The sequence below is a fragment of the Homo sapiens genome, chromosome 4 (genome assembly GCF_000001405.40).
Source record: "Homo sapiens chromosome 4, GRCh38.p14 Primary Assembly".
In the NCBI taxonomy this organism is placed as follows: domain Eukaryota; kingdom Metazoa; phylum Chordata; class Mammalia; order Primates; family Hominidae; genus Homo; species Homo sapiens.
Genome location: NC_000004.12, coordinates 113,549,025 through 113,568,919, shown reverse-complemented (window position 1 = coordinate 113,568,919; position 19,895 = coordinate 113,549,025). Strand labels below are relative to the sequence as shown.

Here is a 19,895-nt window from a genome sequence, read left to right as displayed (position 1 = left end):
AAGGCTTGAATAAACATTTCTTCAAAGAAGATATACAAATGACCAATAAGCCCATAGAAAGACACTCAACATTACTCATCATTAGAGAAATACACATCAAACCACCGTGAAATAGTACTTCACACCCACTAAAGTGACTATTATAAAAACAAAACAAACAAACAAACAAAAGATGGAAAGTAACAAGTGTTGGCCAGGATATAGAGAAGTTGGAACTCATGTAGGTTGCTGGTGGGAATGTAAAATGGCACAGCAGCTGTGTAAAAAAGTTTTGTGATTCCTTGCACAGTTAAACATAGAATTACCGTATGATCTAGCAATTTAACTTCTCAGTATATACCAAAAAGAATTGAAAGCAGGGACTCAAACAGATACTTAACAATGTTTATAGCAGCATTATTCAAAATAGCCAAAAGGTGGAAACAACACAAATGTCCATCAACAGATAAATGCATAAACAAATTGTAGCCTGTACATACGATGCAATATTACACAGCTTAAAAATGTAATGAAATTCTGACACATGCCACAACATGGATGAACCTTGAAAACATTAGGCTAAGAGAAATAAGCTAGACCCAAAAGCACAAATATTGAATGGTTCCACTTATATGAAATAATTAGAATAGGCAAATTCATAGGGAAAGACAGTAGAGTGACAGTTACCAGGTGCTGGAGGAGAGGGGGAATGGATAGTTTTGGGGTACAGAGTTCTGTTTGGAATGACCAGGAGTTCTGAAAATGGTCACACAACATTATGGTTAATGCCACTGAATTGTGCCCTTAAGAATTTTTTAAGGAGTAAATTTCATCGTGTGTGTATTTTGCCACAATTTTAAAAACATCACTTTTCCATAAAAAAATAACTAGAGACCCCTGAACATACACTGTGGACAGATTTTATTAATAAATCTTATGGTTTAAGTATCAAGCTATTGTTAATTACTTCTCCTAAGTAAATAAACCTAATACCTGGTAAAATGATGTCTAGTTATGTGGTTGCAGTATATTAACCAAGGAGGACTCGTTGTTTTGAAGCAATAATAATTATAACTAATGTTTATTGGGTACCTAGTGTGTACCTGACACTGTTATGTTCTTCAACTATTTTAGCTCTTTAATTTTACATCAATACTATTAGATACTTGTTTTAGCCATTTTATAGATTAGGACACTGAAGTTCAGAGAAGTTAAGTTATTCTTCTGAGTCACACAGCTAAATAGCTAAGTATCAAAGACAGTTGTTCTAACATAAGGTGACTAACTTCCATGCTTGTCATTTTAACCAATTTCAAATTTCATCCATATTTGCTTTGAGATACCTGAAAAATCAGACTATTTTATATAGTTTTATAAGAATTATAAAGCTTAGAAATGTAAAATTTTATGTGGGGATCTAAGATTTCCCCCTGTATAACAGGATCATAGATGTCAGATCAAAAGATCTCAGCTGGCCGGGTGCAGTGGCTCACACCTGTAATCCCTGCACTTTGGGAGGCTGCGGCAGGCAGATCAGCTGAGGTCAGGAGATCGAGAGCAGCCTGGGCAACATGGTGAAACCCCGTCTCTACTGAAAATACAAAAATTAGCCAGGCTTGGTGGCGGGTGCCTGTAATCCCAGCTACTGGGTAGGCTGAGGCAGGAGAATTGCTTGAACCCAGGAGGCAGAGGTTACAGTGAGCCAAGATTGCACCACTGTGCTACAGCCTGGGTGACAGAGCGAGACTCCATCTCAAAAAAAAAAAAAAAAAGGAAAAGAAAAGAAAAAAAAGATCTCAGTTGTTATGTTTGGGGTCTGAACATGTATAATGTTCACGGCTTGACTCTAGTCTGCTTTTTTGGTTGTTTGATCTCAGTGTTAGTGCATCTGATTTTTTTTAAGTAATTCAGTCAGTAGACGTTTATTGCATGCCTGCTATATGCATATACTCTGCCAAGTCCTGGAATACAGTAATGGACAAGACAGAACTGACATTGTAGTAGTTGAAGGAGGAGGGGATGGATAATGAGTAAATGACCAAAGAAACCCAGCAAATCATTTTAGTTCTAGTGCTATGAAGAAAACAGGGTGATATTTGGTGCGTAACTAGGGGCTGATGGCTGATTTAGAGGGTGATCGGGAATGGTTGCTATGATGTTTCAGGAGAAGAACCTAAATGTTGAGAAGATCTGTGAGTAGATATTCCACTCAGTGTGAACAATGGGTACAGCCCTGAGAAAATGTGGCTTCAATGAGGAGCAGAACAAAGGCCAGTGTGGCATGAAACATCCCAAGTCCTAGGGTGCAAGGATATGAAATAATACATGAGATAGGTGTGGGCCAGAGCTCAAAGGCCTTGTAGGCCAGAAAGAGGAATTTAGATATTATGCTGTGTGTTCTAGAAAGGTGTTGGAAGATTTAAAGATCGGAAATATGAAATAATCCGATTTCATTATACAAAGCTCTCTCTTGCTGCAGTGTGGCAAGGGATTATAGGAGGGCAGAATGGAAGTGGAGGAAAATGGATATTGGAGGAGTCAAAGAAAAAAAATGACAATGATTTGGGCATAGGTGAGAGCAGTAGAGGAGAAAACTTATGTTTCATCTTCAAAAGGTAAATTGGACTTTTAAAAATGACTGAACTCTACACATATATTGCAAAAGTACAAAGAATTGAACATTCAGAGCTTTAGGAAGATACATGGTTTTTAAAAGAAGGGGATTCCTGCTCTTTGAACTGGACCAGTATTACTAAGCTGATTCACAGTCAGAAAACAGTCTCTTTTGCTACTTTCCATTGTGAAAAAGGGAGAGACGTTTCTTCTCTTCAGCCTTCCCCCTTTAGCATGAAACTCTCCTATTCTTAGTGGCAACTGAAGATAATATTGAAAAGAAAAAATAATAACTTCACAGAATAAATAATAGAAAGTAAAACATTTTACAATGATGAAAATATGTAGAAATTCTGATTGTTATTTTAGAATATCAAATAACACCACAAAATCTTCCAAAAGTGCATCTAAACTCTGAACTCATTAATAGCCTCTACTAATTTTTTTTCTATTCTGTAGGAAAGCAGACTGTTGAGTTCAGAAAAGGCCAGGAAAGTGAATTTATCCTAGTTTTCTGTCTTTTCTCCATGTTTCAACATTCCCAAAAGTGATTTAAACCTCAAATTAAGGTGATTCTGTCATCTGGGTGGCAAAGATTATGATCTATGGCATCTTATCTTGCACACGTGTGTTCAATTATTCGTTTTTTTTGTGTGACTTCTTTTTTTTTTTTTTTTGAGACAGAGTCTCACTGTGTCTCCCAGGCTGGAGTGCAGTGGCATGATCTCGGCTCACTGCAACCTCTGCCTCCCGGGGTCGAGCGATTCTCCTACCTCAACCTCCTGAGTAGCTGGGATTACCGGCATGCACCACCACGCCCAGCTGATTTTTGTATTTTTGGTAGAGACGGGGTTTCACCATGTGGGCCAGGCTGTTCTTGAACTCCTGGCCTCAACTGATCCACCCGCCTTGGCCTCCCAAAGTGCTGGGATTACAGGCGTGAGCCACCATGGCCAGCCTTTTTTTTGACTTCTGCGTGAAAGTAACTCTTCTAAGCATTTGGCAGCCAAAATAGAGAGGTATTGTACAGCCCTTTGAATAAGCCCTCTTTAATTTGTTGTAATGGGTAAATTTATAGGATCATGGCCACCCAGCTTCACTTCTAATCACCAACCCCCTACCTTGCCTGTTCTCTTTCACAAACCAATACACTGTGGTGCTGGCTGAAAACATTTCTAATCATAGACTTATCTGCAGCTGGTGACTATTTGTGGTCTGACAGGAGATTGACCACATCCTGTGGTTAAATGTTATTATTTTTTCTGAAGACTCTTTGAACTGACTTAACTGCTTTCATTTGATGTTTCAACTGACTTATCTGTAGTAATAGCCAAGCATGTATGCTTTGAAAATTTGAATTGATATCCTTTATGTATCACATGGATATCTGTTATATCCGTTGATGTCCTATTACATTTTGTATTTTCTGAGTATTTTTTAAAATTTAGGGGCCATCATATTCCTCATCTAATATAGGCTCTAATACATGGACACTTGGTATATACTTGTTAAAAGAATAAATATGCAAATGACTAGAAGAATAGGAGTTTTAAATCCTCCTTTTAAAGGAAAATGTTAATAATAAAAAATACCCGTAGTTCCACTTCCCTTTTTTAACTGATTTCATATTGCATCTTCCCTTTCGCATACTGTTCAATTCAATTAATGTTGATTGAGCTGCTAATATGTCTCAGGCAATGTGTTAGGCTCATGTTAGGTTCAAGGGATACCAAAAATAAGTAAGACATGGTCCTTGCCTTTCCTTATCTTGAGGTTTAGTAGGAGATATGGGTATATAAGCAGATGGTCTCGGTGTGAAATTTAAATCAAACAAGCACAGTATGCTGTGAAAGCACAGTGGGTGGATTTCAGAGAAGTATTTCTGGAGGAAACTTGGGCTCTTTCTTGAAGAATGTATAAGCTCATGGAAAATTAAATCAAGATTGCCTAGCTAGGCGTTACCAGCAAGGAATTACATTAAAAATGCTTGGTGAAATAGGCAACTAACCAAAGTTCAAGGTAATTGGTGTGGAATTAAAAAGGGAGAGAGCTCAGTAAGAGTGTGCCACGTTATGGAGGTCCATGCATGTCATGGTAAAGGCCTGAAACTATGTACTCTAGGCCAATCAGTGTTAGCTTTCCAAGGAGGAGGTCACTGATACCTTGAAACTGAGCTTTAAGTATGCGTATGCAAATGAACCTAGTAAAATTGCTTCAGTATAAAAACTCTTAATATAGGGAACATTTTATAAATGGAAAAGTAGACATTTAATAGTCACAAATGAGAGTTTAAAAGAAACTAGTTATCTCCATCAAGAGTCTCTATTTCATAGATTCTCTAAGGATTTTTTAAATTCTAGGTTAGCTTCCTTCAACACTATCAGTCTGTAATATTTTTCACTAAGTTCCCTCTTCCCCTTTTCTGAAGCTTCCTACCATTAAAATTTGCTTAAGTGAAACATAAATCTCGACATGAAGTATATTTGGGTGGGATAGGATACTGTGCCGAAGTTGTTTATTTGTACTGTTCTTAACACAATAGTTGAGTACAGATACACTCCAGACTTGAATAATGTGGCTAAATAGATAGTCTCCAGGTGATCAACTAAAAATAATTGTATTCTGTCATCACTTCTCCCATTGATCCCAAGAAGTGCCTCCAAGAAAATTACCTTTCCTTCTCCAGTATTAGAAATCTGTGGGATAGCACCATCCACCAAACTACCCATTGAACCACTATCTTAGAGTTGGAAACACTGAAACATCCTCATTTCCTTCTTAGGGTCCAGCAAAATGGTTCAGTACCTTGGCAACACGCCCTTCCCTATAGAACCAGAGGGAGGGAGTGGGGAAAGAAAATATAGGAAGAACCAAAAGTGAGGATTCTATGAGAGACAAAGTGAAAGAAAGCTCTCAATGAAAGAAAACCCACACATTAAATGGCTTTCAGTACCCAGATCTAGAGTGCCTGGTTTGCATTGTAGTAACTTAACATTTGTCAGTAATGATGCCTACAAATACTGTGTTTATTATGTGTGTAAGAATGCATTTTATTTTGTTTTTTTGTTTTTTTGAGATGGAGTTTTGCTTTTGTCATTCAGGCTGGAGTGCAATGGCGTGATCTCGGCTCACTGCAACCTCCACCTACCAGGTTCAAGCAATTGTCCTGCCTCAGCCTCCTGAGCAGCTGAGATTACAGGCACCCACCACCAGGCCCAGCTAACTTTTGTATTTTTAGTAGAGACAGGGTTTCACCATGTTGGCTAGCCTGGCCTCGAACTCCTGAGTGTATCTACCTGCCTTGGCCTCCCAAAAGAGCTGGGATTACAGGTGTGAGCCACTGTGCCCGGCCAGAATGCATTTTATTTTTAAGTCCACAGCTAAAGATTATCTTGTTGTATTGTTGAATAGTGACAAAGCTACTACTAAGTGTGAATAAAGAGTTTGTAATTTTGCAGGCATTCATTAAATTAAATAAAGCCATATATGCCTATAAACCTAATAATCTTCTTTAAAAAACAATTTATTGAACCAAACTATTAAACCAAGTTTCAGTAAATTAGTTGCCTAACACTTGCACATAAAAAGCAACAAATGTTTTTTGATTCAATGAACAATTGATTATTAAAATCAAGCACATTTGTCTTACTGAACTGTTAGAATTATTAAAAATGGAAGCAATGTAAGGCTGTATAGATCTTTGTAGGCTGCAGTTAAGTATAAATCTGTTGCTCCTTCTTTCGTATGTTAGCCTGAAAAAGAAAAAAGCATGCACTTAGAAATCACATGGGGAAATTTTATAATTTAGATGATTTGACAGATGATAAGCTGTCTCAAATCCCTTTAAGAAGATAGTGTAGTATAAGTAACACACAAATACATGAATAAGTGAATAATTTTTAAATTGACAATAATTTGAATGATCTAGACTTACCTCAATCTCTGTATTCTAAATAGGCATTGTGCTTAGAAAATGAGTATAAATAAGATTTTAGATAATTACTTAACACAGTAATTTGCATGTGGCATGCCTCTGCTTGGCTGTTTCTTAATGGAGCTCTGGCAGAATTTATAATTTGTAAAGGAGTCAAATAAGACTTTATCACCTTTTACTTAAAAGAAATGTGTTTTCATTTCCTTAGAAAAATATTCCATAATTTAGAAATATGGCTATTCAGACTAGACTCTTTTCAGATTAAATTGAATTATGCAGCTTTACAGTGATGCTTTTTCTTTTAATTCATTGAACATTTTATATCCAGTAAAAAGTCAGCTAAAATTACTAGAGCAAATCAGGCTTTTCTTTAATGCTTACTAAGTGGGCGTGTATGCTTGTGTTTACACGTGTATGCAGGCACACATACAATAAACCATTTGGTAATATTCCAGAGACCCAACTATATTGCCAGTAAAAAATAAGAAATCTGTTGTCTGATGATATGTGTAGTACATGGCAACAGAACACTTAAGCTGAAGCATGAAGAACTTGTGAGCATGAATGTTAAACCTAGAAACAATTACTAAGTCACTTCTTAGCTACTGACAAAATCAAAAGGTTGGGAATAAAACCGGCAATAACTCTTGATCTTTTTTTAAAAAATGGTATTACTATCTCAGACATCCCTTCAGAAAGCATCGTTTCTGTTAAGCCTGTGTAGAGATTAATCTGGCATTATCTTTTTAAAAATGTCTAGATTGACTTAAGCCTTTATTCAGATAAATGGGAAAATTTTATGTAACTAGAAATGAGCTACTAGTTTTCATTGTAAAACACAGTCACTAGAGTATACCAAAAAGAATGTTGAGCACATTTGGGAAAAGGTAGCTTTTGTAAGCCTTTTTATTTGTTTTTAAGAGACAGGGTCTAGCCCTGTCTCCCAGGCTGAAGTGCAGTGGTGTGATCGTAGCTCACTACAACCTCTACCCTCTGGGCTCTAGCAATCCTTCTCCCTAAGCCTCTTGAGTAGCTGAGATTACAGGCATGCCCAGGCATGTCCAGCTAATTTTTAAATTTTTTATAGATACGGGGTCTCACTATGTTGCCCAGACTGAATTCCTGGGCTCAAGTGATCCTCCTGCCTTGGCCTCCCAAAATGCTGAGGTTACAAGCCTGAGCCACCACACCTATCTTGTAAGTCCCTGTAGTAATAAAATATATCCTGAATATTGTGAGGAATGAGAGGAAAGTTAGAGATCAAATAAGGGGAAATTGAGATTCCTGTTTCCAACTCTTTTGTTCCTTTTTTCTCTCCTCTTTGCAGTTGAACTCCTGTTTCTTCCTAGGTGTTCATGTCTCACATTTCTTCCTGGCCAACTCTTCCTCATTTATGTAGGGTCCTCCTTGGATAGCACCTCCTCTATGAAAGTTTCTCTGACCCACAGAAGGAATTCATTATTCTCTCCTCTCTTTTCCCTTAGCCTTTATGAGACTATTTTTTCCTCTTCATTTTTTGCTTATCCTTTGTATGGAGTAACTTCCTGAATCTATATAGCAGTGGTGTGGAGCCCTCTAGGAAGCATAGGAAATAGGGGAAATAGCAAGAATTCTTCATAAACTGCAATAAGTGACAAGATGCAGCAAGACTCCCAGCCTTCCTGGCTGGCATGGGGCACTGATTGGTGTAATGTTCCAGTGTGGATGTTACTGTGTATTCATCAGTGAGTCTACACAGATAGAGTCCACATGTGTCCCAGTTGTGCTAATTCTTCTTCCTTTCATCATGCTAAAAAGGTAAGTATTGGGTGAAACTTTTTTACTTACAAGTATACATATTTCCTCTGTAAATGGGACAATTCCTGAGTCTAGGATTTGCTAGGTCTTAAGGATTATGGCTTTAAAAATAGACCTATGCTTTAAAGCATGTTCCACAGGAACATAATTTTTTATTTATGTTTCTATTTTCTCCACGAGACTAGATGCTTGATAGAGCTTACAACTTGATTCTTTATATTCTTGTCCATTAGCATGGGCAAAGCTCACACATATTATGAATAAAGTTGAGTAATATTTGTAGAATTAGTAGATAAACGACACTGCTTAATGACAAAGTTTAACTCTCCATGAAGCTATTTGTATTTTCAGGAAAAAAAAAAAAATGCTGTGAGAACAAATGAGTCGCTCACTGGAGAACTTGGTAGGGGATGTCCTGGTATCCGCAAAACAAGAAGGACCATTTAAATAGCTTTCAGCCGACTGTAGCCTGAGCCCTTCCTTTGTAAGCATCTACACACTCACAGGGATCAACAGTAACAGTATCTCCTCTCCAGCAGAGGATCTGTTGGTCTTCTGAGTATTGAAGACTGATAAATGATAGAATCTCTTCTTGTCTGACATCTTTGAAACCCCCAATGTTCCAGAACCTGGAAAACCTGTTGTCGTATAGGGGCGTATCAACAAATCAGTGGCTTCACTCATCTGTCACCTCTATTTCAGGATTATTTCTGAAGTATTGATGATTAGAAATATGTTAGAATCTGAACTTTGGGGTATAAATTCACCCATTATCTACAGTAGCTTTCCTGCTTTCATAACATGATCTACACATTTTGTGGCTAAATAAATGCTCATTTTTCTGATGACCAAAGCTAACTTTTAGATGAATTACTGATACACAGAAACGATTTCATCCCAATTAACGTGTGAAACACAATTTAACTGTGATGATGTTTTCAGTCAAAGGCAGTTGCCTTGGCATTAACAGTGAAATCTTACATGCACAGGAAGGTTCAGCCTAACCCTGGTAGGATTCCTAGGCTGTTTCAGTACATGTGACGTTAATAATATGTAGCTTATCAGGTAATGATGCTCAGTTAGTAACATTCTTCAGTGAGCCAATGGCAGATATTTTTAAAAGTGATTATAATTTTTCTCTAAGGATTACCCAAGCATAATAAATAACAAAATATGAGCAAAAAATGTGATAATACAAGGGATTTTTAAATGGCAATGATTTTAACATATAGATAAATAAAAATAATCATGTCCATATTATAGTGTTTGAAACTTAGTCTAGTGAATGACAAGAGATAGCATAGGTATTGAGATTTTAATTTATCTGATAGGCTTACCGAATTCCAATAGTTAATACATAATTCCTCTGTGTATTCAAATTGTTTCTAATTAGATGGACTTCTCTATTCTTTTAAAATATATTTTGTAAATATTCTTGTTATCTTTAGAATGTCTGTGGTGCTTGCAAAACCATATACAGCGATTTCTTTCATTTGTTTTTTTTTAATGCACAGTAGAGTATATAGGTCAGATAACGTTTGAAATGCATGACATGTTAGTAATCTTCCATTTACCTCTTTAAATTAATATTCGATTTTAGTATTTATTTATTTTTGAGACAGGGTCTCGCTCTGTCATCTAGGCTGGAGTGCAGTGGTACGATCATGGCTCTCTGCAGCCTCAGCCTCGCAGGCTCAAGCGATCCTCCCACTTCAGCTTCCTGGGTAGCTGGGACTACAGGTTCATACCACCCCACCTGGCAGGCTCTCACTATGTTACCTAGGCTGTTTTTGAACTCCTAGGCTCAAGCAGTCCTCCCATCTCAGCCTCCCAAAGTGCAGGGAGTATAGGCGTGAGCCACCACACCCGGCAAAATCAGTATTTTATAAGTGAAATTACATATATATATACACACATGACATAGTAGTGTATGTGTGTGTATATGTATGTATTACAGTTGTTCCTCACTATCCACAGAAGATTGAATCGAGGACCCTCTCAGATAACAAAATCTGCAGATACTGAAGTCCCTGATATAAAATGGCATAATACTGTATTTGCCTATAACCTATGCACATCCTCCTGTATACTTATTTATTTTTGAATACTATATTTTTGATCCTCAGTTGGTTGAATCTGCCATTGTCAAATCCTCATATACAGAGGGCCAACTGCATATATAATTTAATGATAGCAAATTACTAAAAATATCGAGGCCATAATAAAAATTATTGATAGCAAATTACTAAAAATATTGGGGCCAATAAAAATTAATGACTTCAAGAATTAAAAACAGTTACTATACATATATGAAAATTAACTCTTAAAAATGTGACTTGGTTATTCAGTTAGCTTGGATAGATGAAGCAGAAAGTTAAATGGTGATTATGAAAACTGAACTTTTGTATATGTGGTTTAACTACATTGTGAGTTACGTGAGTGTGTTATTTCTCCTTTTGTCTCACTACTTTAATGGGAGATTATTGTTGCCCAACTCTGGGTCTAGTATGTAACCAACTCTTTTCAGCCAGATTCCTCACCTCCAAAAGAGTGTCTTGCATCTTTGGGTCTGGGCCCAGGTTCAACTCCAAGAACTGTACATCTCAGGGACCAAAGGTTATGCTTGGCAGGGAAGCCTAATGCCCCATCAGGGCACTCACTAATCTATCTGAGTAGACTATTAGTGTTTTTCTATTTTTAAAATGTGTTTTATATATGCACAGGTACTCTGGTATCAGCTGTTGTGTTTTCCAAAGAGTTGAGTGCATTATTATATCAACTCATCCATGCTCATAATATACGTATATGTGCCCAGGGGAATTTTGGGGAGCTAAGGGTAGGACTGGTGCAAAACTATGCAGTTACAAATTATAGGCTTCTGAAGAGGTAATCTGACTCAGTAAACCAGCCTCAAATCAAAAAAGATAAGTACTATGGTAAGACATAAGAGCTAATCTGCAAAACACAGCTTGCACAGCCCTGAATTCATTATTAAGATTTCCATAAAGACATAGAAAGGATGCTATAAATGACTGTCACCTCACAGACACTGCAGAAAGACCACTTACTTTCAAATTTGACATTCTCCTTCTCCATGAGTGTTCTTGGGAATTCCCGGAAGAGAGACAAGCATGTGAAAAGGCCCTAGGGCAGGAAGGAGCTTACTATGCTTGAGGAACTGGAGGAAGGCCATCACAACTAGAGCAAGAAAGAGAGGGCCTCAATTGGAAGATAGGTGGGATACAAATTAAGCGGAGACATGAAGGTCATATCAGGAGTTGGCCTGAAAAATCAGTGTACAGCCATTGAAGAGCTTCATGCAGACATGTGACAAAATTGGATGTACATTTAAAGCTATTGTGTGGAGAGTTGATATGGGGGCTGGGGGGCAAGATAGGAAATGGGGCCCATTAGGAGTTATTGCAGTGGTACATGTGAGAGATAGCAGAGACTTAGGCTGGTGACATTGTAGTGGAGATAGAAGTCTTGATTCAAGTCCTGTTTTGGAGATATAATCAGCAAGATTTAGTTAGAGATCTGTACCTACATAATAGAAAAAGTGGTTGGGCCTCTTCACCCTGAGGTACTAGCTCAAATAACAGGTCAAACCAGAAAATCATGAAGTGGTGCTTATAGTTTCATTCCCCCATTTAATTATTTAATCACTTATTCACTCAGAAAACATTTATTAAGCTCTTCCTGTGAGCCAGGCATTGTGTAAGGTGCTGAAGAGACAATGTCCCATTATCGGTCATGTGCTCTGCCTGACAGACCCTTACACCAGTGGTTGGCTTGATTTACTTTATATCTTAGAACATGGTGCTAAGGAGACCCACATTTTTCATTGTATCCCCATAGACTTTGTTCATTTAGACACATGGTTCCCTTCAGGGGTCTTTGGGGAGCCCCTGGGGTAACTAGAAATGGATGGACTTGGCACACTGGTTGGCACGCTGACAAGGTAGTTCTGCCGCACCTAGAACAGGGCCTGGTGCTGACAGTCTTGCCTTATACAGGACATCTGCACACTCGTAATATAGAATCATCCAGCCAAGACACCCAGTAACACTCCTACTAATGAGCCCTGATCAGCTTCACACTGACCAGTGACTACTCTCCTGCCCTCACCAGTACTCAAACTGTCTGACTTTAATCAATGATTAAAGGGCACATAAGTGGGAATTCTTTATGTCTGTATTCTTCCCAGTCTTTCTGCATGATCCTTTGGGGTATTCCGAGCCCCTTGTCTTACCCTTCTCTGCTCCCCAAATTGTGTCCAAGGGGCAAGCTAGTAGGGCAGCACAGACAAGAAAAAGCTAGTCCTTTTCCTTTCTTTTGTGTGTGTTCTTGGGAAATGACCTTAATCTCCATTACTTTCATTTCCTTGTCTATAAAACAGAAATAGCACTAGTATCTACTTCATAGGGTTGCTGTGTTGCAATCTCTAGAGCACTTAGAACAGCACTTAGTCTTGGCACATTTTCTTAGTCTTTTGGGCTGCTTAACAGAATACCATAGCTTGGGTGGCTTGAACAACAGACATTTCTCACAGTCCTGAAGGCTGGAAGTCTGATATCAGCGTATCAGCGTGCCAGCGTGGTCTGGTTCTGGCAAGGGCTCTTTCCTGGATTGCAGGCTACTGACTTTTTCTTATATCTCTACACGGAGAAAAGAGAGGAGAGAGCTCTCTGGAGTCCCTTTGGTAACGACCCCAAATGAGGGCTCCACCCTCATGACCTCATTACCTCCCACAGGCCCCACCTCCTAATATCAGCACTTTGGGAGTTAGGATTTTAACCTATTAATTGGGGAGGGGGCACAGATATCCAGGTAGTTGCACACACAATAAGCACCCAATGAATATTTATTGTTATTGTTATTGTTCAACAAGTGGAAGACAGTGTGTTGGATGACCATGCAGGTGACGCGGATGAATCTGTCACCATTACAACTTCTGCCTTCATCACTAAATGAAGAGATACCAATTGCTTAAATGCAAGGCAGCAGGAGATATGTTTTTTTACAAATAAAAATCTGATTGTGGTGATTCTTCGCTTAACTGCTTAATGAACCTCTGTTACCACTGCTCAAACGCTTGGATTTCAGGTCTGGCAATCTCATCTCACTAGGTTTGTTCTTCAGCTTTAAGTTAATTTCCCAGGGGAAATTACTCCTTTTTCCAGAGTTAGTCCCAGTCCTACCTTAGCAAGATTGCCTCCTACTTGTGCATTAACTGGGTGCCGCTCTTGGTTCCTGTTTCCCATCAGCTCCAACCTGAAGTTCCTGGCTTTCCCCCACCACCTCGAGCACTGCTTTTAATCTCCAAGTCAGTGCTATTCCTTGGGTTAATGTGGCACCATTTTATTTTTTAAATCCCAGTCTTTGACTCTACTTGCTGCTCAGCCTCATGGTCAAAGATCTATTACTGATGAAATTTTACAAATGTTGTATTCTGGATGAAATTAATTTTGACCATTTCTGATGGGAATTGCAAATTGTACACTAGAAACAGAAGAACAATTTATTATACAGGGTAATAATACAGTGTGAATCAACATCACTATAAATAACAACAGTAACAAATATTTATCTTTCTGATACATATCTCATTTTTTCATGTTCTAGAGTTATCTTTTTTTTTCCTTGTGAGCCCTAATGTTCTGGAGATTTCATAAATGGTAATTAATGCTTCAAATTTATAATTGATATCCTTCATATCATAGTAGAACTCTGACATCAATTTATTCACAAAATCTCTAATTAGTTAATTAACAATTTATTCATGAGACTGATTTAATTTGGGCATTATATGAAATTTCACAAAGCACAGTAAAAATTTTCAAAAATATCTAATAACTATGGCTTAATTTTGTGTTCTATTAAAAAATAATGTGAGTATAAAAATATGTTAAAGTTAGAAAATTCAGTAGCTTCTCTTCAAGACATTGAATTCTATTATAACTGATATTTTTTCCTTTTCAGACATTTATCATACATATAGAAGAAATGATAAAATGGTTTCATTTGTGTAAAGATATTTTTAAATAATGGGACGAATGAATACTAGGAGAGAGAATGTTGTCAGACACAGTTAACTACATAATCTAAAACTCAACATGAAACTCTACACCCCTCAAATTTGTCTAAAGCTATTATGATTTATTGAAAACTACCAGAATGCTAGTCCCCCTGACTTTTTAAATATTCTCCTTTAAATACGAACCCCTTAGGAAATAAAATCTATTGCCATGTATAGCTAAACTTTGGTATTTGTATGATTTTTTTTAAGCTCATGTAAAGTTCAGATTTACAGTAAATGAAATGGATAGCATGATTCTCTAACTGGGTTAATTCATTTAATCATTACTTCAAGAGTCATTAATTAAGCAAATATGTATTAATGCTAGGTTAGATGCTAACATAACAAAGATCAGTAAGTTGAGAGCCCAGTGATCCAGGATCTGGTATTTTTCATAGGCCAAATAACATGTTTAAGGAGCCTATAAATAGCAGCAATTTTATTAATGTCAGTAGACTTTAATCAATGTTTATTAAACATTTTAACAATCCAAAATTGTCTGTAATGTATGTAGGTTTTCTAGGTACTTATAGTCAAAAACAAGGATAACTACGAGTATATATTATATCTATAATACATCAGTCACATTCAAAGGAAGAAATCTCACAAAATTGTTATCGTCACTATACAGGCAACAGTAGACTTGTTGAAAGTGTTTTTTGTCTAACTATTTTGCATTGTAATTTATGTAAGGTACATTGTGTGATTGCCTTATTATAGATTCTAATCGGAATAAATAGCTATGCTATTAAATGGAATTACGTACATGTAACCATGGTTTTTAGAACATGCCTATATGAAGATTTATATGATAATCTTAGGTAAACATTTTATATGTGAAAATAATAGAATTGGAAATAATGACGGACGTTAAAGGACTTTGAGGTATCCAGAATGCAATTAAGAGAGGCAGAAGTTGCATAAATGTTCAGACATGTTTATAATTTTTAGCATCCCATCTTTTCCTTTTGGAAAGGAGAATAAGGGAGAGAATACTAACTGGTGATCTCTAAAACATGCTATCCTTTGATGATGTTTCAGAACTTAATAAAGCAAAAAAGCAAACAAGTGAACAAAAAGAAAAACTAATTTAGCATCCTTTTATCTCACTCTATAGTATTCATACATGAAGCTCTATACCTTTACTTGATGCTTTTCCAAATGACTCATGCCTTCTAAACTGGAAAGACTGGCAGTGTCATTATTGGAAAATCTGCACTGTGGAGTGGTTGAGGGCATGAGCTGTGGAGTGGATGGCCTGCCTGTGTCACTAAACGCTGTGTGATCTTGGGCAAGTTACTTAACTTCTCTGGGCCTCCATTTTCTCATCAATAAACTGGGAGGGGAATTGCTCGGCGGGCAATTGTGAGGATTTATAAGTTAATATAAAGCTTAGTACACTGTGTGGTTTATTGTAAGAACTCAGCAAATGTTAGCTCTTACAAGGTTAAACCCCAAAGATGAAATGTCCTTTTAAAATCAAGCCAGATCATAGCAGAGGAAGAAATGGTTGATAAATGAGAAAATGATCTACCTCGCTAATAACCAAGAAATTCATATTAACTTTTCCACAATTGAATAGGTGTTCTGTATTTATTAATAATAACTATTATTAGTAATGATTTGGGTCTGTGAGCACCTTCACAATTTTCAGGGTGCAACCATTTTGGAAGGTGATTTGCCCTGTCTGCTCTACAAAATTTTAAATGTGGGTACTCTTTCACCCAGTAATTTTACTTGTAAGAATTTCTCTTTCAGAGATACCCTCTAATATGCACATACACGTGTGTGCACGCATGTATGTACGCATATGCATATCTCTATTAATTGCTATGTTACGTTAAATTAGGGGAAAATGCTTCTGATATGACATGGTGCCCATAATTTCATGTAAAATGACAAATACAATTAACTTAATTATTTACATATAGCACGTGATCCCACTTTTGTGGGAAAAGCATCTATTTTTATGTGTGTGTTTTCAAGGGGAAAAATACATGTTTAAGGATGCACACATGCAAAAATAGCAAAAGGATACATGGAAACTCATACTCAATAGCTATGATGTGTATCATCTCCTTTTGTTCAGAAAGTGTTTCTAAACTGTGCCAAAATTTTGTCAGATATCATTAATATTTGAAAAATTGAAATGAAAACCATTTTCTGCGAAAGATATTGCCTACTATATTTATGGCATACAGAAAATTGTGACCTCATGTGTCTAATGATAGACAAATAAAAAAGATAAAAATGTTTAGTGTAGTATAGATTTGACTTACGAACACTGTCTCATGTTTTAAAAAGTTTTGATTTTTTTTAAATCATCTAAGAAAAACAGCTATATGAACACATTTGCAAATCTATTGATGCTTATTTTTTTTTGCTTCTTTTTAAAAGTGATTATGTTTTTTATCTTCCCAGAGTTACTGGAGGTGAACTGTTTGAAGACATAGTGGCAAGAGAATACTACAGTGAAGCTGATGCCAGGTAAGTGACTTGCCCTGGGCAAGATACAAGACTCAACATTCAAATAATACTTTTTCAGCATATTTCTTTACAAATGCATGTTTGTACAAACAAATGTTTTAAGGATCTCCGGGATGATTCTTAGAGAAAAAAAACTCCATGAATCTGGTCTATATTTTTATCTAGCATCTGTAGTTAGATTACATATTTTATCAAAAACAACAAGGAAAAACAAACCAAAACACCCCACCTAATTGGAATGACTTCTGCTAAAGCAATATATTTTTTAGTGAAAGTCAGAGATCAAAGATTGAAATCCTCTAATCCCTAGATAGATTCTAGGTTGCCCAGTGGTAGCCAGTAGTCACATGTGGCTATTGCAATTTCAATTAATTAAAATTAAATTAAATTAAAAATTTATTTCTCAGTTGGTCTAACCATGTAGTTGGTCTAGCCAACTGCCTAGTAGCCACAAGTGTCTAGTAGCTACCAATTGGCCAGACCAGATATAGAACATTTTCATCATCACAGAAAGTTCTACTGAACAATGAATATCTAATCAGAAAACAGAAACAGCCTGAAAAAAGTCTCAGTGGTCTCTTTAAGGAACTATTATTAGCTAATTAACTCTTTGGAAATTTCATTAAAACCCTTGAACCCCTGAGTTGAAATATATTTATTCAGGCATTTAAGAGAGTTCAAGAGTAATTTTTCAATCTTGTTAATTGGCAAAATCTTTACAAAAGTTTAAAAAAGGCTAAGTTTTTTGTCTAATTTGCAACTTCCTAGGCTATCCAAGGCAACACTTTTGGAGTGGAGTAACATTAACCACTTGCTTAGATGTTACTGGATTGCATGGTGTAAATTTTCCTGTGTACTTTTATATATTCTGTAGCTGTCATTTATTTTTAAAAATCTGATCAAGAGTGATTGGCTCATTATTAGCAATGTAAATGAGATGTTTGGGAGCAGAGATTGACTCTGCTCCCATTCTCCAATGCCATCAGAGCTTCCCAAGGCTTGCTAATCCCATTGTAGCCTGACCCTCAACAGATGTCCAGCTGATATTAAGGTTCCCAGCCCCTCCTTGCCCTCAGAGGCACACTTCTAAGTTTCTAATTTTTCTTCTTGGTTTAATGCACTGTTTATGGCACTTTGTGAATCTATCTGTACATGACTACGCTCTAATTTTTTAATGGAATTTTTATGGCCAAAGTCAAATAGAAAATTCTGTGTAATTTATACTATGATGAGTGAATCATCACTTGCTCAGTTTACCCCAAATCCCCACATTAGGGTCCTGAAAGGGGCCATGGGGAACCTCTGGAAGTAGCTATTTGGCCACTTGCCAAGAAACAGTAATACTTTTAATCAAGGTACTAAACTAGGGAATTTCATTAATGTTACCCTTCAAAGTTATGTTAAGCAGGCTGTTACTTGGTTTGAAAAATACTGGTTGAAATTAAAATAGAGACTATTTTTACTGCTAAAGAGCTCTAAGATATTTTTTATGAAAGCTCTCCGATAAAATCAAAGAGAAGGAACATTCCCTTCTAAATACATAAAGAGGCTATTTCTCAGTCAGATGTGGTGGCCCACTCCTATAATCCCAGAACTTTGGGAGGCCAAGGTGGGAGGATTGCTTGAGCCCAGGAGTTCGAGACCAGCCTGGGCAACATGGTGAAACCCTGTCTCTGCTGAAAATACAAAACTTAGCCAGGTGTGGCAGCATGCACCTGTAGTCCCAGATAATCAGGAGGCTGAGGCAGGAGAATCACTTGAACCTGGGAGGTGGAGGCTGCAGAGATCATGCCACTGCACTCCAGCCTGGGCGACAGAGTGAGACCCTGTCTCAAAAGAGGCTATTTGATTGTCAAAAAATTGTAAAAATTTTTTACTAGTTCTCAAAAATTTAAGAATTGAATCCATTCTCACTAGTAAAAAAAATGGTGAAGTCCATTTAGTATGTGTTATTGTTTACTTCTTTATCTTCTGTTATTCCCAAGATTCAATAATTTATGCTTGTTGTTTGAGAACAGGAAGAGAAATATTCTTAAAGAGTAGTGCAAAGTGAACATTATTGTAAAAGAAAAAAGATTCCTATGGTTTAAAAATAATGACCAATACTCAAATAAACAATGTAGTCAACAGCAATGAATGTGAGACGCTTTTAGTGGTATTGTTAATAAAAGAGCTAGAAAATCATAGTCATGATCAATTTTTAAAATATTTACATTGTAATAAATCAGATGGTGATTACTTTTTTAAATTCAAGATTTTTCTTTAGAATAATATTATTTTATACATTAAGTGGTTGAAAATGTCCTTATTAAAATGTTTGCTTCATCTTTCAATGAATAAATGTAGTTCAGGATGTACTTGCATTTGAATTGCACAGTGAACTTATACAAAATTCATCAGTGTGATGTGTTCTGCATTATTATATGTCAGATGACAGTTCACAGGACCTTATAGGTGCCAAACAAGGATTTCTCCTCTCTAATTAGCAGTCCCATTTGATATCAGTGAACCCTTAATAAGAATAGCATAAAATGTGCATTTTGATATAGTATGAAGCAAAAGTTTTTCTTCACTGAAGTGTATGGAAGTGGGTTTAATAATTACCAATGCTCCAGGGGATTGTAAATTTGTATTTATTTATTCTTTGAAAGCTCCCTAGCTCTTCCCCAAAGTATTCTTACACTAAAGAGGGGTTTATTTTATTCATGAGTTTACTTTAAATTCTCCCTTTATTGTTGGAGACTTGCATTTGTTTTCCTGTTATATACTTTACAAAAAGCAACGCTTCTAAGGCGAAATGGTAAATGTGTCCCTCCATTTTTTTTGACCCTTGTTTCACCTGCCACTTCATCTGTGTTTACCCTCTTGTTTCAACACCTGTTTAATTGTGACCTCAGATTTTAAACAGTTTAGATGTGTATAAGAAATACCTGGAAATTTTATATCTCTGAAGAATTTTCCCAGAACATTATGGGAATTCTTTATAAATTTTTCTTTCTAAATATG

At 36.6% G+C, this 19,895-nt stretch overlaps 1 protein-coding gene across 53 annotated transcripts in view, besides 2 other annotated features; it reads left to right on the top strand.

Moving 5' to 3' along the window:
• CAMK2D (calcium/calmodulin dependent protein kinase II delta) overlaps nt 1-19,895 on the top strand; it is a 310,707-nt gene that overhangs the window by 192,819 nt on the left and 97,993 nt on the right. For all 53 annotated transcript variants that reach the window (NM_001321578.2, NM_001321577.2, XM_017008674.3 and 50 more), the window contains one exon: nt 16,824-16,889. Coding sequence is in view for 48 of the 53 variants with exons in the window: in NM_001321577.2 (NP_001308506.1) it covers nt 16,824-16,889 (66 nt within the window). In the remaining 5 variants the exon portion in view is untranslated. The remainder of the gene's footprint in view (nt 1-16,823; nt 16,890-19,895) is intronic.
• Nucleotides 7,189-8,388: an enhancer, noted in NCBI's record as "MED14-independent group 3 enhancer chr4:114481688-114482887 (GRCh37/hg19 assembly coordinates)". NCBI's record gives its function as "activates an origin of replication core promoter dependent on BRD2, BRD4, P300/CBP and CDK7 cofactors, and independent of MED14, by STARR-seq in HCT116 cells {active_cell/tissue: HCT116}" and the evidence as "EXISTENCE:reporter gene assay evidence [ECO:0000049][PMID:35650434]".
• Nucleotides 10,981-11,150: an enhancer, noted in NCBI's record as "experimental_72235 CRE fragment used in MPRA reporter constructs". NCBI's record gives its function as "activates a minimal promoter by MPRAs in K562 erythroleukemia cells, with activity observed for both the introgressed and non-introgressed 4:114479011 variant alleles {active_cell/tissue: K562}" and the evidence as "EXISTENCE:reporter gene assay evidence [ECO:0000049][PMID:34662402]".